Here is a 16,088-nt window from a genome sequence, read left to right as displayed (position 1 = left end):
AAACCCCAGAGAGAGCACGAGGAAGGTTAGGAAGCCAGAAGGAAACTATGCCACAAAGGTTAGGAAGGGGAGAGTTTCATAAAGATACCAGTCCACAGTGTAGGGCTGGGCATGGTGGCTCACACCTGTAATTCCAGCATTTTGGAGGCCAAGGCAGGCGGATCACGAGGTCAGGAGTTTGAGACTAGCCTGACCAACATGGTGAAACCCCATCTCTACTAAAATACAAAAATTAGCTGGGCGTGGTGGCAGGCGCCTGTTAATCCCAGCTACTTGGGAGGCTGAGGCAGAATTGTTTTAACCCGGGAGAGGGGGTTGCAGTGAGCTGAGATTGTGCCATTGCACTCCAGCCTAGGAAACAGGGTGAGATTCCATAAAAAAAAAAAAAAAAGGTCCACAGTGTACAATGCTGCAGAGAGAGATGCCATATCCAGCAGGTTCTCTGCAGTCTGAAATTAGGAGTCAGTGGTAGCCTTGGAGACAGTTGTTTCAGAAGCTTAATGAGGCAGGGGAAATGGACTGAGCACTAAGCAAAGGTAAGAAATAAGAGGAAGGAAATGTAGGCCACACCTTTCAGGCTCGAGAGAGGGAGAGAGGGCCAGCACATGAAAGCAAGCATATTCTCATGCAACACTGTGGCAAAGTTTTGTGTGTGTTTTTTTTAAAGCTGGAAGGCTGGGCATGGTGGCTCACGCGTGTAATCCTAATGTTCTGGGAGGCTGAGGTGGGAAGATTATTTGAGCCCAGGAGTTCAAGATCAGCCTGGGCAACAAAGCAAGACCTTGTTGCTACAAAAAACTTAAAAATTAGCCGGGCATGGTGGAATGTACCTGTAGTCCCAGCTACTTGAGAGGCTGAGGTGGGAGGATCACTTGAGCCCAGGAAGTCAAGGCTGCAGTGAGCACCCCACTACACTGCAGCCTGGGCAACAGAGTGAGACCCTGTTTCAAAAACATAATGTATAGGCTGAAGGCAAAGAGTCAAGGGCCAAGTGTTAAGTGAGAGGTTGAAGATGAAAGAAACAAAGAGAGACTGTAAATGAACAGATCAATCAATAAAGTGAGATCCCAAGATCTCAAAAGAGAAGAGATGAGAGTAAGAACATGGAGGGACAGACCTTCGAACAGGAAGAGGACAGTTCCTCCTCTGAGAAAAGAAAGGAGATACGGGTGGAACTGATACAGATGAGTCTGCCAAGTGTTAGGGAGGGAAGCTGAGGGAGTCTGGTCTTCCTTATAAACTAGTGAGAATGAAAGGTGATAATGCAACCGGGTGCAGTGGCTCACACCTGTAATCCCAGCACTTTGGGAAGCAGAGGTGGGCGGATCACCTGAGGTTGGGAGTTCGCGACCAGCCTGACCAACATAGAGAAACCCCGTCTCTACTAAAACTACAAAATTAGCTGGGCCCAATGGTGCATGCCTGTAATCCCAGCTACTCAGAAGGCTGAGGCAGGAGAATCGCTTGAACCCGGGAGGCGGAGGTTATGGTGAGCTGAGATCATGCCATTGCACTCCAGCCTGAGCAACAAGAGCGAAACTCCGTCTCAAAAAAAAAAAAAAAAAGACAACTGAGTGACAGAGCTTTAGATTTAGCAATGGTTTTAAATAAAAGTAGTATTTTTAAAAGATGAAAGATCAATCTAGAGCTAAAAAGAGACTACAATCAGACCAATTAAGTCTGAGAGGACTCACGGAGGCTGGTGGTAAATAAACTCTAGGGAAAAGAAGATCAAGAACACTTTTTTTTTTTTTTTTGAGACGGAGTCCCACTCTATCTCCCAGGCTGGAGTGCAGTGGCATGATCTCAGCTCACTGCAACCTCCGCCTCCCAGGTTCAAGCAATTCTCCTGCCACAGCCTCCCGAGTAGTTGGGATTACAGGCGCCTGCCACCATGCCCGGCTAGTTTGTGTATTTTTAGTAGAGACGGGGTTTCACCATGTTAGCCAGGCTGGTCTCAAACTCCTGTCCTCAGGTGATCTGCCCACCTCAGCCTCCCAAAGTATTGGGATTGCAGGCGTGAGCCACCACACCCAGCCAGAAAACTTTTGAAAGAGGAACTAAAAGGAAGGATATGTTCACTGAGGACAAGTGAGGGATATGAAACGGAAGAGTAAAAACCATCGTTTCTGAAGGTTCTAAACATCCATATGTCCCTTTTCATAGCTTGTAGATGCTAAGTCTCAGAAACCAAGCTTATATGTCACAGGCATTTGCCTGAATCTGTAGGCTCAGAAATGTACATATGCGAGATGTCTGTATGAAACAGACCAGCAAGTCTTCTGCTCTAGTCAACTGCTTGCAGTGACCCAACATGTACTGGACTAAGGGTATAGGGTATAGGTGCCAACAGGAACAACTGATGATGGAGTGAAGGCTTACTTTCAAAAAATTTATCACAAATTGATTCCATTCATCACTTCATATATAACCTTATTCTACTAAGTAACACAAGATATTAAAAACTGCCAAGTCTCCACGCATCCATTCACTATCAGCAGCAATAAAGATTACATGTGCTGAGTGCTCACCGCACGCCATACTATACTCAGCTTTTCTATTATCTTACTTTAAACCTCCTTACAACTCCAAGGAGGGTGTCATTCCTTTTTGTTGTTGTTGTTGAGATGGTGTCTCGCTCTGTCGCCCAGGCTGGAGTGCAGTGGTGCGGTCCTAGCTCACTGCAACCTCCGCCTCCCGGGTTCAAGCAATTCTCCTGCCTCAGCCTCCCGAGTAGCTGGGACTACAGGTGCATGCCGCCACGCCCGGCTAATTTTTTTGTATTTTAGTAGAGACGGGGTTTCACCATGTTGCCCAGGCTGGTCTCGAACTCCTGAGCTCAGGCAATCCACCCGGCTCCGCCTCCCAAAGTGCTGGGATTACAGGCGGGAGCCACTGCACACCACCGTCATTCCTTTTTAAATGTTGATGAAACTCATACCTGGGAGGTTAGACAGTTTGTCCAAAGTCACAGAGCTAATAAATGGTACAGACAGAACTTCAACCCAGGCCCACCAGATGTCAAAATATGTGCTTCTCAAATGATTATACAACACTACCTTATGTCAAAATCAAGTCCCCAAAACTGAGACTTTATTTTTCAATTCAAATTGAAGTGACCAAAAATTTATCGTATTCCTAAAACAATATAAGAAATAAATAGTTGTGAGTTATTTAAAATAAATTTCAGATACAAAGGACCTCTCTACAAGAGCATACATTGACGCTGGGTGCAGTGGCTCAAGCCTGTAATCCCGGGACTCTGGGAGGCCGATGCGGGCAGATCACCGGAGGTCAGGAGTTTGAGAGCAGCCTGGCCAAGATAGTGAAACCCCGTCTCTACTAAAAATACAAAAATTAGCCGGGCGTGGTGGCACAAGCCTGTAATCCCAGCTACTCAGTAGGCTGAAGCAGGAGAATCACTTGAACCCAGGAGGTGGAGGTTGCAGTGAGCAGAGATCACGCCACTGTACTCCAGCCTGGGGGACAGAGCAAGACTCTATCTCAAAAAAAAAAAAAAAAAGAGCTTACATTGAGCTAAGGCGAGACTTGGTGGCTGGCTCATACCTATAATCTCAGCACTTTGGGGGAGCCAAGGTAAAAGGAGCTCAGGACTTTGAGACCAGCCTGGGCTGAACATAGTAAGACCTTGTCTCTACTTTTTTTTTTTTTTTTTTTTTTTTTGAGACGGAGTCTTGCTCTGTTGCCAGGCTGGAGTGCAGTGACGCGATCTCGGCTCACTGCAACATCTGCCTCCTGAGTTCAAGCAATTCTCCTGCCTCAGCTTCCCGAGTAGCTGGGACTACAGGTGCAAGCCACCACGCCGAGCTAATTTTTGTATTTTTAGTAGAGACAAGATTTCACCACGTTGGCCAGGATGGTCTTGATCTCTTGACCTTGTGATCCGCCCTCCTCGGCCTCCCAAAGTGCTGGGATTACAGGTGTGAGCCACTGCGCCTGGCCTCATTTCTACTTTAAAAAAAATTTTTTTAAGAGATAAAATGAAAAGCAATTTAAATACTTAGAAAATACATGATTGGCCCGGCCTGGTGGCTCATGCCTGTAATCCCAGCACTTTGGGAGACCAAGGCAGGTGGATCATTTGAGGTCAGGAGTTTAAGACTAGCCTGGCCAACATAGTGAAACCCCGTCTCTACCAAAAATATAAAAATTAGCCAGACGGTAGTGACATTTGCCTGTAGTCCCAGCTATTGGGGAGGCTGAGGCAGGAGAATCGCTTGAGCCCGGAAGGCGGGGGTTGTGGTGAGCCAAGGTCGTGCCACTGCACAGTCTGAGCAACAGAGTGAGACCCTGTCTCAAAAAAAAAAAAAAAAAAAAATAGAAATCACACTGGTCAGGGATAGGTTTACAAAAAAGGTGGTACTTGAGCCTGGCACAGTGGCTCACACCTGTAATCCCAGCACTTTGCGAGGACAAAGCAGGCGGATCACAAGGTCAAGAGTTCGAGACCAGCCTGGTCAACTGGTGAAACCCTATCTCTACTAAAGACACAAAAAATTAGCTGGGCATGGTGGAGGGCGCCTGTAATCCCAGCTACTTGGGAGGCTGAGGCTGGAGAATCCCTTGAACCCAGGAGGCAGAGGTTGCAGTGAGCCGAGATCATGCCAGTGCACTCCAGCACGGGTGACAGGGAGAGACTCCGTCTCAAAAAAAAAAAAAAAAGAAAGCCAGGCGCAGTGGCTCATGCCTGTAATCCCAGCACTTTGGGAGGCCGAGGTGGGCGGATCACCTGAGGTCGGGAGTTCAAGACCAGCCTGACCAACATAGGGAAACCCCATTTCTACTAAAAATACAAAATTAGCCAGGCGTGGTGGCACATGCCTGTAATCCCAGCTACTCAGGAGGCTGAGGCAGAAGAATCGCTTGAACCCAGGAGGTGGAGGTTGCGGTGAGCTGAGATCGTGCCATTACACTCCAGCCTGGGCAACAAGAGTGAAACTCCGTCTCAAAAAAAAAAAAAAGGTGGTACTTTAGCTGAACCCTTAAAGATTTGCGAGAAACTGTGCATATAAGCAAGAAGGAGCATTTCAAAGAGTATCCCTGAATTAGTCACATGAGAGAGAACCATGGAGAACTCTAGTAATTAGAATACAAATATAGTATGAAGGCCCTTTTTAGCCAGTCATATGAACTTTCAACCCTGAAGTGCTAAGTCTTAAACAGGCTAGGACAGAAAGTTGTAACCAAGGGCTGAGCTAAGCGTGACATATTAATGATTTATCTTATTCAAAAATCCAGCTCAATGCCATGGGGCTGTCAAACAAGATTAATTTTTCAAAATACACACCAGAACAAGGGTATCCATAAAAGCTACTCTTTTCAATAAGGTGAATCATTCTTCCAGTGAATTTGTCTGTAAATTCTCTTCTGGAACTGCCCTCAAAACCAGTTTACAATCATTCTGATTTTTTTTGACAATCACAACTAAAATCAGTTTATAATCACTCTAATTTTTTCAGTCACAACTAGTTTGGGTTCTAAAAGAATATTAACCAGCTTTTCTCTACTTGATTCCAAGTGACCTATAAATGAAACTTTACCCTCAAAGAATTGAAATCTGCCACCATGAGGATTTTCAAAGGAATGTGTCACAGGCTCTGACAGTAATTCTGAAGATGAGCTCCTGCCCACCAAAAACACACATGCAAGTTCTGGAGGTAGATTACTTAGATAATGCCCATTCTTGGTTATTTAAAAATCTACATTCCTGCTTTCCTTAATACTCCTAGCATCAGATGTTACAACTGCTTAGACAGAACTTTGATAAAGGTGTATCCTACGAATCTATGACTAAGCTACGGATTTTGGGATAAGTGGCCCCGTTTCCCATGATAGGTAAAGCAGGAGGAATTTACCAGTTTTATGGTGGCTTAAGTCTAACTGCCCCCTTCTGAGACTGTAAAATCTTTATCCAACATCTCCTTTTTCCTCTTCAACTCTCCCACCTCTTCCCCATTAAAAGTCACTGCAATTCCTAGGAAGCAGTCTTCTCTTATCCCTTTGCCTTCGTGGCAGACCCTGTGCCATGCTTTAAGGACCACAAAGCTACGTGATGAAACAGACAGGAGAAAGGGAGGATGGGACTATGTTTACTGTTTGTACTCAGAGAAGTGTTCAAACAAGAAAAGGGAGGATCCCTTCCTGTGAGTGTTATTTTATCTTAAATACCTTTCCAGTTGTCATCTTTGGACTGTTCTCAGACACTGAAAGACTTGAGCTCCTTCCTGCATGCCACAGAAGTATAGGAACATTCTTCGCGTTGCACTTATGGCTGAACTGCACAGGCTAAATTATAGCCCGCTCTACTAGCCACACAATCCAATCTCGTATTTATAATTCTCTTCTATCTCTCACAACGATAAAGCAGATAGCTTCCTCTTTTCTTAGAAGGCAGCCTCTGTACATAACTCCACCATGGTCATGCACTGTTTTGTTGGCAGTTTTCAATGATTTCCCTGGCAGACTCAGAGCTTCTTAAAAGCTACCAGGGTATCCTGCTCATTTGCACACAGTAGGCACAAAATACACATCTGCTGAACTGAATGCATAAGTGATGGATTTGAAAGAGATTTCAGAGAGAGAATCAACACTGTGGTATAGAACTGTTTAGGGCCAGGTGCAGTGGCTTACACCTGTAATCCCAGCACTTCAGGAGGCCAAGGCAGGCAGATCATCTGAGGTCGGGAGATCGAGACCCACCTGACCAACATGGAGAAAACCCGTGTCTACTACAAAATTAGCCAGGCGTGGTGGCGCATGCCTGTAATCCCAGCTACTCAGAAAGGCTGAGGCAGGAGAATCACCTGAACCCGGGAGGCAGAGGTTGCAGTGAGCTGAGATCGCACCATTTCACTCCAGCCTGGGCAACAAGAGAAACTCCATCGCAAAAAAAAAAAAGGTAGCATTTCCTTAGAGAAAAAATTAGTTAACAGCTTGTGCAATGACAGCACAAATATTTAAATCATTCCAATGTCATCGTCACATGACAGCTTAGGATAACGACACTTATTAGGTATGCAGCTTTAGACAAAACAATCTTTCTGAGTACAAGTTTTCCCTTCTGTTAAGCCACAAAAAAGAAAGGGGCGGTGGGTGGTAACAATACCTATTCTATCTAGTGAAGTTTAGTAAAGCTCAAATGACAATGTACAAAAAGATCATTACACAAATATAATGTATTATTGGACAGATTTAAGCAAATTAATTCTCCCCATTAGTGCTACTTTATGTACATACACTTGACTAGACCATATACATAAGTCCAAACAACAGAGCTGTCAAGCATATAATAAAATATGTGGATCATTAAAAATTTCAGTCACAGAAATACTTGCAGAAACCTTCTACCTATTCAACTCGTCTATAGAAAAGCTCATCCTTATGTGGAAATTCAGTTTTTAAATGATTTCCAGGCAGTTTCAGCCTGTTCTTTTTGTGACAGAAGCAGGTTTTAACCAGGAAGCTGCCTGGTGACCTGCCTGAAGCACCAGACACATCACAGGGCTCTGCAACACGCTCTGCAGCAAAGAGCCCAAAGCAGGCACAAACCTGCATTTCAGCACAGAGTTGGCTGATCTATTACCAAAGCCTGCAGCTGAAAATACAGGCAAGCACAAAGAAAATTCTTTAACAGCATACAGCTCAGATTATTGCTATGATTAGGACCAATGACAGGCTGAACCTTAAAAAAAAAAAGAGAGAAAGAAAGAAAAAATGAAAATAGAGAAATGAGTGCACCAATGTCAGCAAGGCATGATAAACACACAGTTAAAAGCATCTTTAGCGGTGGCTCACGCCTGTAATCCTAACACTTTGGGAGGCTGAGGTTGGTGGATCATTTGAGGTCAGGAGTTTAAGATCAGCCTGGCCAACACGGTGAAACCCGGTCTCTACTATAAATACAAAAAAAATTAGCCCGGCAGTAGTGGCGCTTGCCTGTAATCCCAGCTACTGGGGAGGCTGAGGCAGGAGAACTGCTTGACCCTGGGAGGCGGAGGTTGCGGTAAGCTAAAATCGGGCAACAGTGTGAGACTCCATCTCAAAAAAAACAAACGAAAGAAAAGCATCTAAAACAAAAAAAGACAAAGTACTTATGTTAGAGCAGAGTAACTGTAGAGAAAATGCAAAACGAACAAACCTTAGCTCCAAATATGCTACAGGCATCACAAATAACACCATACTACACAGATATGGGGACTTTTGGATTATTTTAACTTCACTTGAATTCCTAATGTCTATCCACTTCTCCAGCCAACCATCCCCTGTACTTTAAGCAAGAAAGATGACCAATATGCTGACACTGCAGGCCCAAGTTTTTCAATTGTATTTTTTCCAGTCATCCATTGCTAAAACAAATGAAATACAAGAAGTGTAGTATATCTATAAGAAACAAATTCAAACCAAGTCAGATGCCAACCAAAATAATCCTTCATTGGAAAGCAAACCATGCACTTGTCCTTAAAATGTTTAAGCCTTGGCATTCACAATTTGTAGAAGTTTCACACCTTTCTGAAGGAGAGAGAGGTGAGCTAATCAGTGTGGGTCCTAGAAATAGTTCCTCAGAATGTTTCTAGACATTCTAGAGATGTCTAGAAACACCCAGAGATGTAAACAACAATCAGCTGGAAGCAGATATACCCAGAATAAGGAGCTTCCAGGATTTCCCTCTCCGTGTGAAAGCAATCAACTCCTATTTTTAATCTCCCTCTGACGCAAGCATCCAGGCAAACCTCTCTCTAATCAAAGCTAGATGATTTGTTACTTTCAAATAGCAGTTTTAAAAGTCAGATTTTAATGCAAGTCAACACAGATTTAATGTCAATGCTTTAGTCTAGGAGAAGAATGAGTTATCTTGAGAGACAGAATTGATGGTAATGCAAAAAGCTCCTCGATTTTCGAAGCGGGGGGAACTTAAGGTATAACTGGGCAGACAAACCCAGAGGATTCCTATCTTCTTAAACACTTCACAGAAACAAACTAATCTAATACCAGTGATTCCCGGGACTGGCCGAAGAATAACTTGAAAATTGGATTAATTGAAAAATAACATGTTGATAGTTAAGTACAGGTAAAAACAGCACTTTCCTACACATTGGGTTATTAAAAGGGTTATTAAAAATAATTATTTCCTTCAGTGCCCAACAGGATTTATAACATTCAACTCTATTTTTGGTTTTTCATTGTAAAGGATTCTCAGAGGGGAGGGAACCATAATGCCTTAATAAGTAAACAATAAGTAATGTTTAATAAGCTCCTGGGAGTTGGTCACATTCTTCTTTTCCAATCAAGAGTTTTTGATCCACTTGAAAAATGCTAGTGAAGAGGGCCTTCCACAAGGAACTCAGTAAGAATATGCAACTCTGGAGACACAATCAAAGTACTGGTATCAAGCTTGGAGAAAATGCTGCTTTTGTCTCAGGGGCAGCCAGTGATAAAAACAGGAACTTTACACAGAACTGATCACAACTGCCCCAGAAGCCTGATCACATGCCCACAACGGAGCACTGTGTTTCTCTCATTGTTGTACAAGGAGTTCTCTAATAACAGTGGCTTGATTTATCCCATTTTTTTTTTTTAATTCTGAAAATAAATCGAACCCTCCCTGTCCCAATCCATTGTCAAAAGAAAGAATGCCAGCCAGGATTTGCAAGTAAACGGTAGCCTCCTCTCCTTCCTTCATCAAAGACTCCAAAAGGTGACCAGATGCGGAAAATTCGGCCCGAATAACAGGCACCAGGAAAAAAAAAAACTTCTTATGACAAAGGTGGTCTAAAAGCAGCACCGTGTGTCTCTCTGGGTTAATGCCATTGCTTCTTATCTTCCTAGGACCCTAAATGGCTCACCCGCTTGTGTCTCACTCCTGTCACTGGGGAGGCATCGCGCATTGTTAAAGGAAAGAGAAGAAATGATGCTGCGGATTTCCCATGTGTCTCTTTTTGAAAGGGGGAAGGGGGGGCTGGAACAAGGCGTGGAGCCCTCCACGAAAAGGGGAGAGGAAAGGAGAAAGCTGTCAGCCACCCTCCTCGCAGCCCTACCCCTCACCCCACCTGGGCCAGACGCCTGGGCAGAAGCGGGAGGGCGCAGCTTTGTCTCGGGTTTTGGGGGGCAGGAAGCGCAGAAGCAGTGTGGGCCCGGGAGGACCTTTCCACAAGCCCTTACTTAGTCCCCTCCATGGGAAAACAATGAAAGCCACAGGAAACCACTTAATGGGGTGGGAGAGGAGGGAAAACGGTCGTGGAGCGCCAGGCCAGGTTCTCTACACCCTCGTCCCCCTCGCCGCACGGCCGCCAGAGCGCGCGGCGGGGACCTGTCTCCCAAGTCGCCGCGATCCGCAGGGCCCCGGGCGCCCTCTCCCCGGCCCGGCTCCTACCCTCCGAGAGCTCCAGCTCCAGCTCCGCCAGCTGCGCCCGCACTTCAGGCGGCAGCGCCGCCACCGCGGCCGGCGACGGCTCCAGGCCTCGTTCCGCCATCCCAGCTCCGCCAGCCACACTCCGGAAGACAAGAGAGGGGGCCGAAGGAGGGACGGACAGACACGGGCCCACACCCGGCTACAGGATCCGGCTCCGGCCGCCGAGCACCACCAGCACCGCCGCCGCCGCCGCCGCCGCCATGAGCAAAGGTCACGTGAGCGCGACGGCCCCCGCCCCCCGGCCAGGAGGACGCACCGCCTCTCCAGCCCAGTCAGGCTGAAGACGCATATGCTTACGGCGCCCTCTACTGGGAAGCTACCAGAACGACGGGCCCAAGCCCACCACTCGAATTTCCCTGCGCGAAATGGGCTCATGGTATGGACTGTCGGCTTTACCACAGTAGTGTGGACACATAGCATTTACCTTTCACTCTCGAGCAAGTTTTTAGGGGTCCCAGGCCTTACTTTTTCCAATACTAGACTTAGCAATGTATGTCTATCGTGTCCTTTACTCCATTTTCCCTGATTAATACCTGCCCATTTATAAAAACCTAATCACAGGCCACCTCCTTCGCTGTGGCTCCTGGTCCTATCTGCCAGGAGCTCTGTTTCCGTTTCAGTTTTAGCTTTTAAAAAGACAGGCGCGGTGGCTCTCGCCTGTAATCCTAGCACTTTGGGAGGCTGAGGCTGGTGGATCACCTGAGGTTAAGAGTACCAGGCTAGCCGACCGGGCGCGGTGGCTCACGCCTGTAATCCCAGCACTTTGGGAGGCCGAGACGGGTGGATCACGAAGTCAGGAGATCGAGACCATCCTGGCTGACACGGTGAAACCCCGTCTCTACTAAAAGTACAAAAAATTAGCCGGGCGTGGTGGCGGGCGCCTGTAGTCCCAGCTACTCGGGAGGCTGAGGCAGGAGAATGGCGTGAACCCGGGAGGCGGAGCTTGCAGTGAGCCAAGATCACGCCACTGCACTCCAGCCTGAGCGTGAGCGCGAGACTCCGACTCAAAAAAAAAAAAAAAAGAGTACTAGGCCAGCCTGGCCAACATGGTGAAACCCCGTCTCCAATAAAAATACAAAAATTAGCCGGGCGTGGTGGCGGATGCCTGTACTCCTAGCTACTCAAGAGGCTGAGGCAGGAGAATCACTTGAACCCAGGAGGCAGAGGTTACAGTAAGCTGAGATCGCGTCATTGCACTCCAGCCCGGGCAAGAGAGCAAACACTCCGTCTAAAGAAAAGAAAAAGACAATAGAGAGCAGGTCCACTTCTTTCTTTCTATACTTCTAACTACTTACAAGGAGGGAACTTACTTTAACTCATCCTCCTCACTCTGTGGCCTAATAGGTGTTCCAAAAACATTAATTTTAATTTAATATGAAGAGGGTCCAAGGCTAGGTGCAGTGGCTCACACCTATGATCCCAGCACTTTGGGAGGCCAAGGTGGGCGGATCACCTGAGGTCAAGAGTTCGAGACCAGCCTGGCCAACATGGCGAAACCCCGTCTCTACTAAAAACACAAAAATTAGCCGGGAGTAGTGGCACATGCCTGTAATCCCAGCTACCTGGGGGAGCTGAGGTAGGAACGTCGCTTGAACCCGGGAGGCCAAGGTTACAGTGAGCTGAGAACATGGCGGCTGCGCTCCAGCCTGGGCAACGCAGTGAAACTGTTTCAAAAAAAAAAAAAAAAGTCAAGGCCGGGCGTGGTCGCTCACATCTGTAATCCCAGCACTTTGGGAGGCCGAGGCAGGCAGATCACCTGAGGTCAGGAGTTGGAGATCAGCCTGACCAGTATGGTGAAACCCCGCGTCTACTAAAAATACAAAAATTAGCTGGGCATGGTGGCATGTGCCTGTAATCCCAGCTACTCGGGAGGCTGAGACAGGAGAATCGCTTGAACCCGGGAAGTGGAGGTTGCGGTAAGCCCAGATTGCACCACTGCATTCCAGCCTGGGCAACAAGAGCGAAACTCCGTCTCAAAAAAAAAAAAAAAAAAAAAGGAAAAACTGGATGAAGCATACACAGGAATTATCTGTACTATCTTTGCAACTTTTCAGTAAATTTAAAACCATTCTAAAGTAAAACATTTATTTAAAATTATAGAAGCTTAGAACAAACTTGAGAGATCCTCCTACCTCAGCCTCTCAAAGTGCTGGGATTACAGGCATAAGCCACCTCATCCAGCCTTTACTGCATTCTTCCACCAAATTATTCTACCTTTTTGCTAGATTATTCCTTATATTCTCTTTATTTCTAATTGTTTATTCTTTACCTTAATCTTTTTGTCTAGATATTATTGTTGTACCAGCCTTTTTAATTACTACTTGCTGACTTTTTTTAGTCTTTTATTTTCAACTTTTGTCTGTGACTCTGGTTGTAACAAATTAATTAAATCCATTTAAGTTCATTTAATATAATTACTGATATATTAGGACTTATTTCTTCATTCTTGTTAAATGTTTTCTGTTTATCAATCTCTGTCTTTGCTTTCTTCCCCCCCTTTTTCTCCTATTGTTGAATTAGTAAAGTGTTAGATAGTACTTCTTTGTTCTTCTGGTTTGGAAGGTACAGATTATACTGCTATTCTTTCTGTGACTATTTTAAAAGTTTAACATTAAATTTTTCTCCGAGGCCAGGTGTGGTGGCTCATGCTTTTGGAGAAAAACTTTTAAAAATTAACAAACAAAAATATACTATGTTTATACTGTGTCACCGTTTTTTTTTTTTTTAGACAGAGTCTCGCTCTGTCACCCAGGCTAGAGTGCAGTGGCGCAATTTCAGCTTACTACAACCTCTGCCTCCCGGGTTCAAGCGGTTTTCCTGCCTCAGCCTCCCAAGTAGCTGTGATTACAGGCACCGGCCACCATGCCCGGCTAATTTTTGTATTTTTAGTATTTTTAGTAGAAATGTGGTTTCACCATGTTGGCCAGGCTGGTCTCGAACTCCTGACCTCAAGTGATCCACTGGCCTCAGCCTCCCAAACTTCTGGGATTACAGGCGTGAGCCACCGCACCAGCACCTTTACCAGTGCTGTTTATTTCTTCGTGTGAACTCAGGCTATTGTCTAATAATCTTTCATTTCAGGCTGAATGGCTCACATTGCGGGGCAAGTGACAAATTCAGTTGTTGTTTATCTAGGAATGTCTGCATTCTCCATCATTTTTCTTTTTTTCTTTTTTTTTCTTTTTTTTTTTTTTTTTTTTTTTTGAGACGGGGTCTTGCCCTGTCACTCAGGCTGGGGTGCAGTGGCACCATGTTGGCTTGCTGCAACTTCAATCTCCTGGGCTTAAGTAATCCTCCCACCTCAGCCTCCCAAGTATCTGGGATTATAAATTCATGCCTCTACACTCGGCTGATTTTTTACTTTTTTGTAGACATGAGGTCTCACTGTGTTGCCCAGGCTGGTCTCAAACTCGGGCTCAAGTGATCCTCTCCTCGGCCTCTCAAAGTGCTGAGATTACAGGCATGAGCCACCACACCTGGCCTCTCCTTCATTTTTGAGGTATAGTTTTGTGGATATGGAATTGTTGGTTGACAATTTTTTTTAGCATTTTGAATGTCTTTCCACTGCCTTCTGGGCTCCATGGTTTCTTTTTTATTATTATTATTTTTGAGATGGAGTTTCGCTCCTGTTGCCCAGGCTAGAGTGCAATGGCAAGATCTCGGCTCACTGCAACCTCTGCCTCCCAGGTTCAAGTAATTCTCCTGCCTCAGCCTCCCGAGTAGCTGGGATTACAGGCATGCCCCACCACGCCTGGCTAATATTGTATTTTTAGTAGAGATGGGTTTTCTCCATGTTGGTCAGGCTGGTCTCAAACTCCCAACCTCAGGTGATACACCAACCTCGGCCTCCCAAAGTGCTGGGATTATAGGCGTGAGCCACCATGCCCAGCTGGGCTCCATGGTTTCTGATGAGAAGTCAGTTATTAATTTTGCTGAGGATCCCTTATACATGATGAGTTGCCTTTTTTTTTTTTTTTTTTTTGCTGTATTCAATGTTCTCTCTTTGTTTTTGTCTTTTGGCAGTTTGACCATAATGTGCCTAGGTGTGGATCTCTTTGAGTTTATTCTTCTTGGAGTTAACTGACCTTGAATGTGCACATTAATATTCTTTATCAAATTTGAGAAGTTTTCAGGGATTATTTCTTCAAATAAGCATTTTTTTTCCTTTAGAGACAGAGTCTCACTGTCAGCCAGTCTTCAGTGCAGTGGCACAATCATAGCTCACTGCAGCCTCAACCTCCCGGACTCAAGCCTGACTAATGTTTTTACTTTTTGTGGGGACAGGGGTCTCCCTATGTTGCCCAAGCTGTTCTCAAACTCTTGGGCTTAAGCAATCCTCCCACCTTGGCCTCTCAAGGTGCTAGGATTACAAATATGAACCACTCTGCCCAGCCTCTAAACACTGTTTTAAATACAAAGAAATAGTTCTTGTTTCTGCATGTCATAGCTTTGTAAGTTTACCTTTTTCTATTTTATCTAATATTGATGTATACATAGGAGAAAGGGTACTTCAGAACATGAATTTTAGAGCAATCTACCAAGTCTCATGATTACAATAGTTGAAAATTTGGAAAAATTGTCTACCCAGAAAATGCAACAGAATCAACTAAAATAACATTATTCATTCATTAAAATAAATATTAATGGCTGGGCTCAGTGGCTCAAACCTGTAATCCCAGCACTTTAGGAGGCCAAGGCGGGCAGATCACAAGGTCAGGAGTTCAAGACCAGCCTGGCCAACATGGTAAAAACCCCATCTCTACTAAAAATACAAAAATTAGCTGGGCGTGGTGGCGGGTGTCTGTAATCCCAACTACTTGGGAAGCTGAGACAGAGAACTGCTTGAACCTGGGAGGCAGAGATTGCAGTGAGCCAGGATCGCACCACTACACTCCAGCCTGGGTGACAGAGCAAGAGTCTGTCTCAAAAAAAAATAAATAAACAAAAAATATAAATAAAATATATATTAAGTTAATGTGACAGGTTAGGCATTGTCTAGGTGCTAGGGATACATTGTTTAAATAAGGTCCATATTCACATAGAGTTTAAATTCTAGTTCTAACAGACTATTAATGAGGGTTGTATAAGGTAACTTAAAATTAGGTAAATATATAAAAATAAATAACTTTCCTGTCTTATAGTAATTGCCATTGAAAGGTGAAATCGGCCGGGCATGGTGGCTCATGCCTGTAATCCCAGCACTTTGGGAGGCTGAAGCGGGCAGATCACGAGGTCAGGAGATCGAGACCATCCTGGCTAACACGGTGAAACCCCATCTGTACTAAAAAATACCAAAAAAAATTAGCCAGGCATGGCGGCTGGCGCCTGTAGTCCCAGCTGCTTGAGAGGCTGAGGCAGGAGAATGGTGTGAACCTGGGAGGCAGAGCTTCCAGTGAGCTGAGATCATGCCACTGCACTCCAGCCTGGGTGACAGAGTGAGATTCCGTCTCAAAAAAAAAAAAAAAAGAAAGAAAGAAAGGCAAAATCCATTCATAGTTATAACAAAACATAACATAAATAGGAATATCCCTAGCAAGAAATGTACAGACCTATATGAAAAAAAAAAACCTCTAACAGTAACTGATCTGAAAGAAGACCTAGCTGAAAAACAAACAGAAAAAGAAACCTAAATGAATAATTACCCATTTCTAGAAGACTC

At 45.0% G+C, this 16,088-nt stretch overlaps 1 protein-coding gene across 1 annotated transcript in view, besides 4 other annotated features; it reads right to left on the bottom strand.

The window, feature by feature from the left end:
• Positions 1-10,646, bottom strand: part of DIP2B (disco interacting protein 2 homolog B) — a 243,673-nt gene extending 233,027 nt beyond the window's left edge. Inside the window, exon 1 of the mRNA NM_173602.3 lies at positions 10,391-10,646. Coding sequence (NP_775873.2) covers positions 10,391-10,490 — 100 coding nt within the window. The 5' untranslated portion in view covers positions 10,491-10,646. The remainder of the gene's footprint in view (positions 1-10,390) is intronic.
• Positions 4,730-4,849: an enhancer, noted in NCBI's record as "active region_6353". NCBI's record gives its function as "activates an Ori minimal core promoter by ATAC-STARR-seq in GM12878 lymphoblastoid cells {active_cell/tissue: GM12878}" and the evidence as "EXISTENCE:reporter gene assay evidence [ECO:0000049][PMID:35858748]".
• Positions 10,234-10,343: a silencer, noted in NCBI's record as "silent region_4452". NCBI's record gives its function as "represses an Ori minimal core promoter by ATAC-STARR-seq in GM12878 lymphoblastoid cells {active_cell/tissue: GM12878}" and the evidence as "EXISTENCE:reporter gene assay evidence [ECO:0000049][PMID:35858748]".
• Positions 10,578-10,629: a tandem repeat, named in NCBI's record as "fragile site, folic acid type, rare, fra(12)(q13.1)".
• Positions 10,607-10,627: a repeat instability region, noted in NCBI's record as "repeat instability region; expansion of the (CGG)n trinucleotide repeat is associated with intellectual disability". NCBI's record gives the evidence for it as "EXISTENCE:polymerase chain reaction evidence [ECO:0000082][PMID:17236128]".

Source organism: Homo sapiens, chromosome 12 (assembly GCF_000001405.40).
Source record: "Homo sapiens chromosome 12, GRCh38.p14 Primary Assembly".
Lineage (NCBI taxonomy): Eukaryota > Metazoa > Chordata > Mammalia > Primates > Hominidae > Homo > Homo sapiens.
This window is presented reverse-complemented; position numbering and strand designations above follow the sequence as displayed.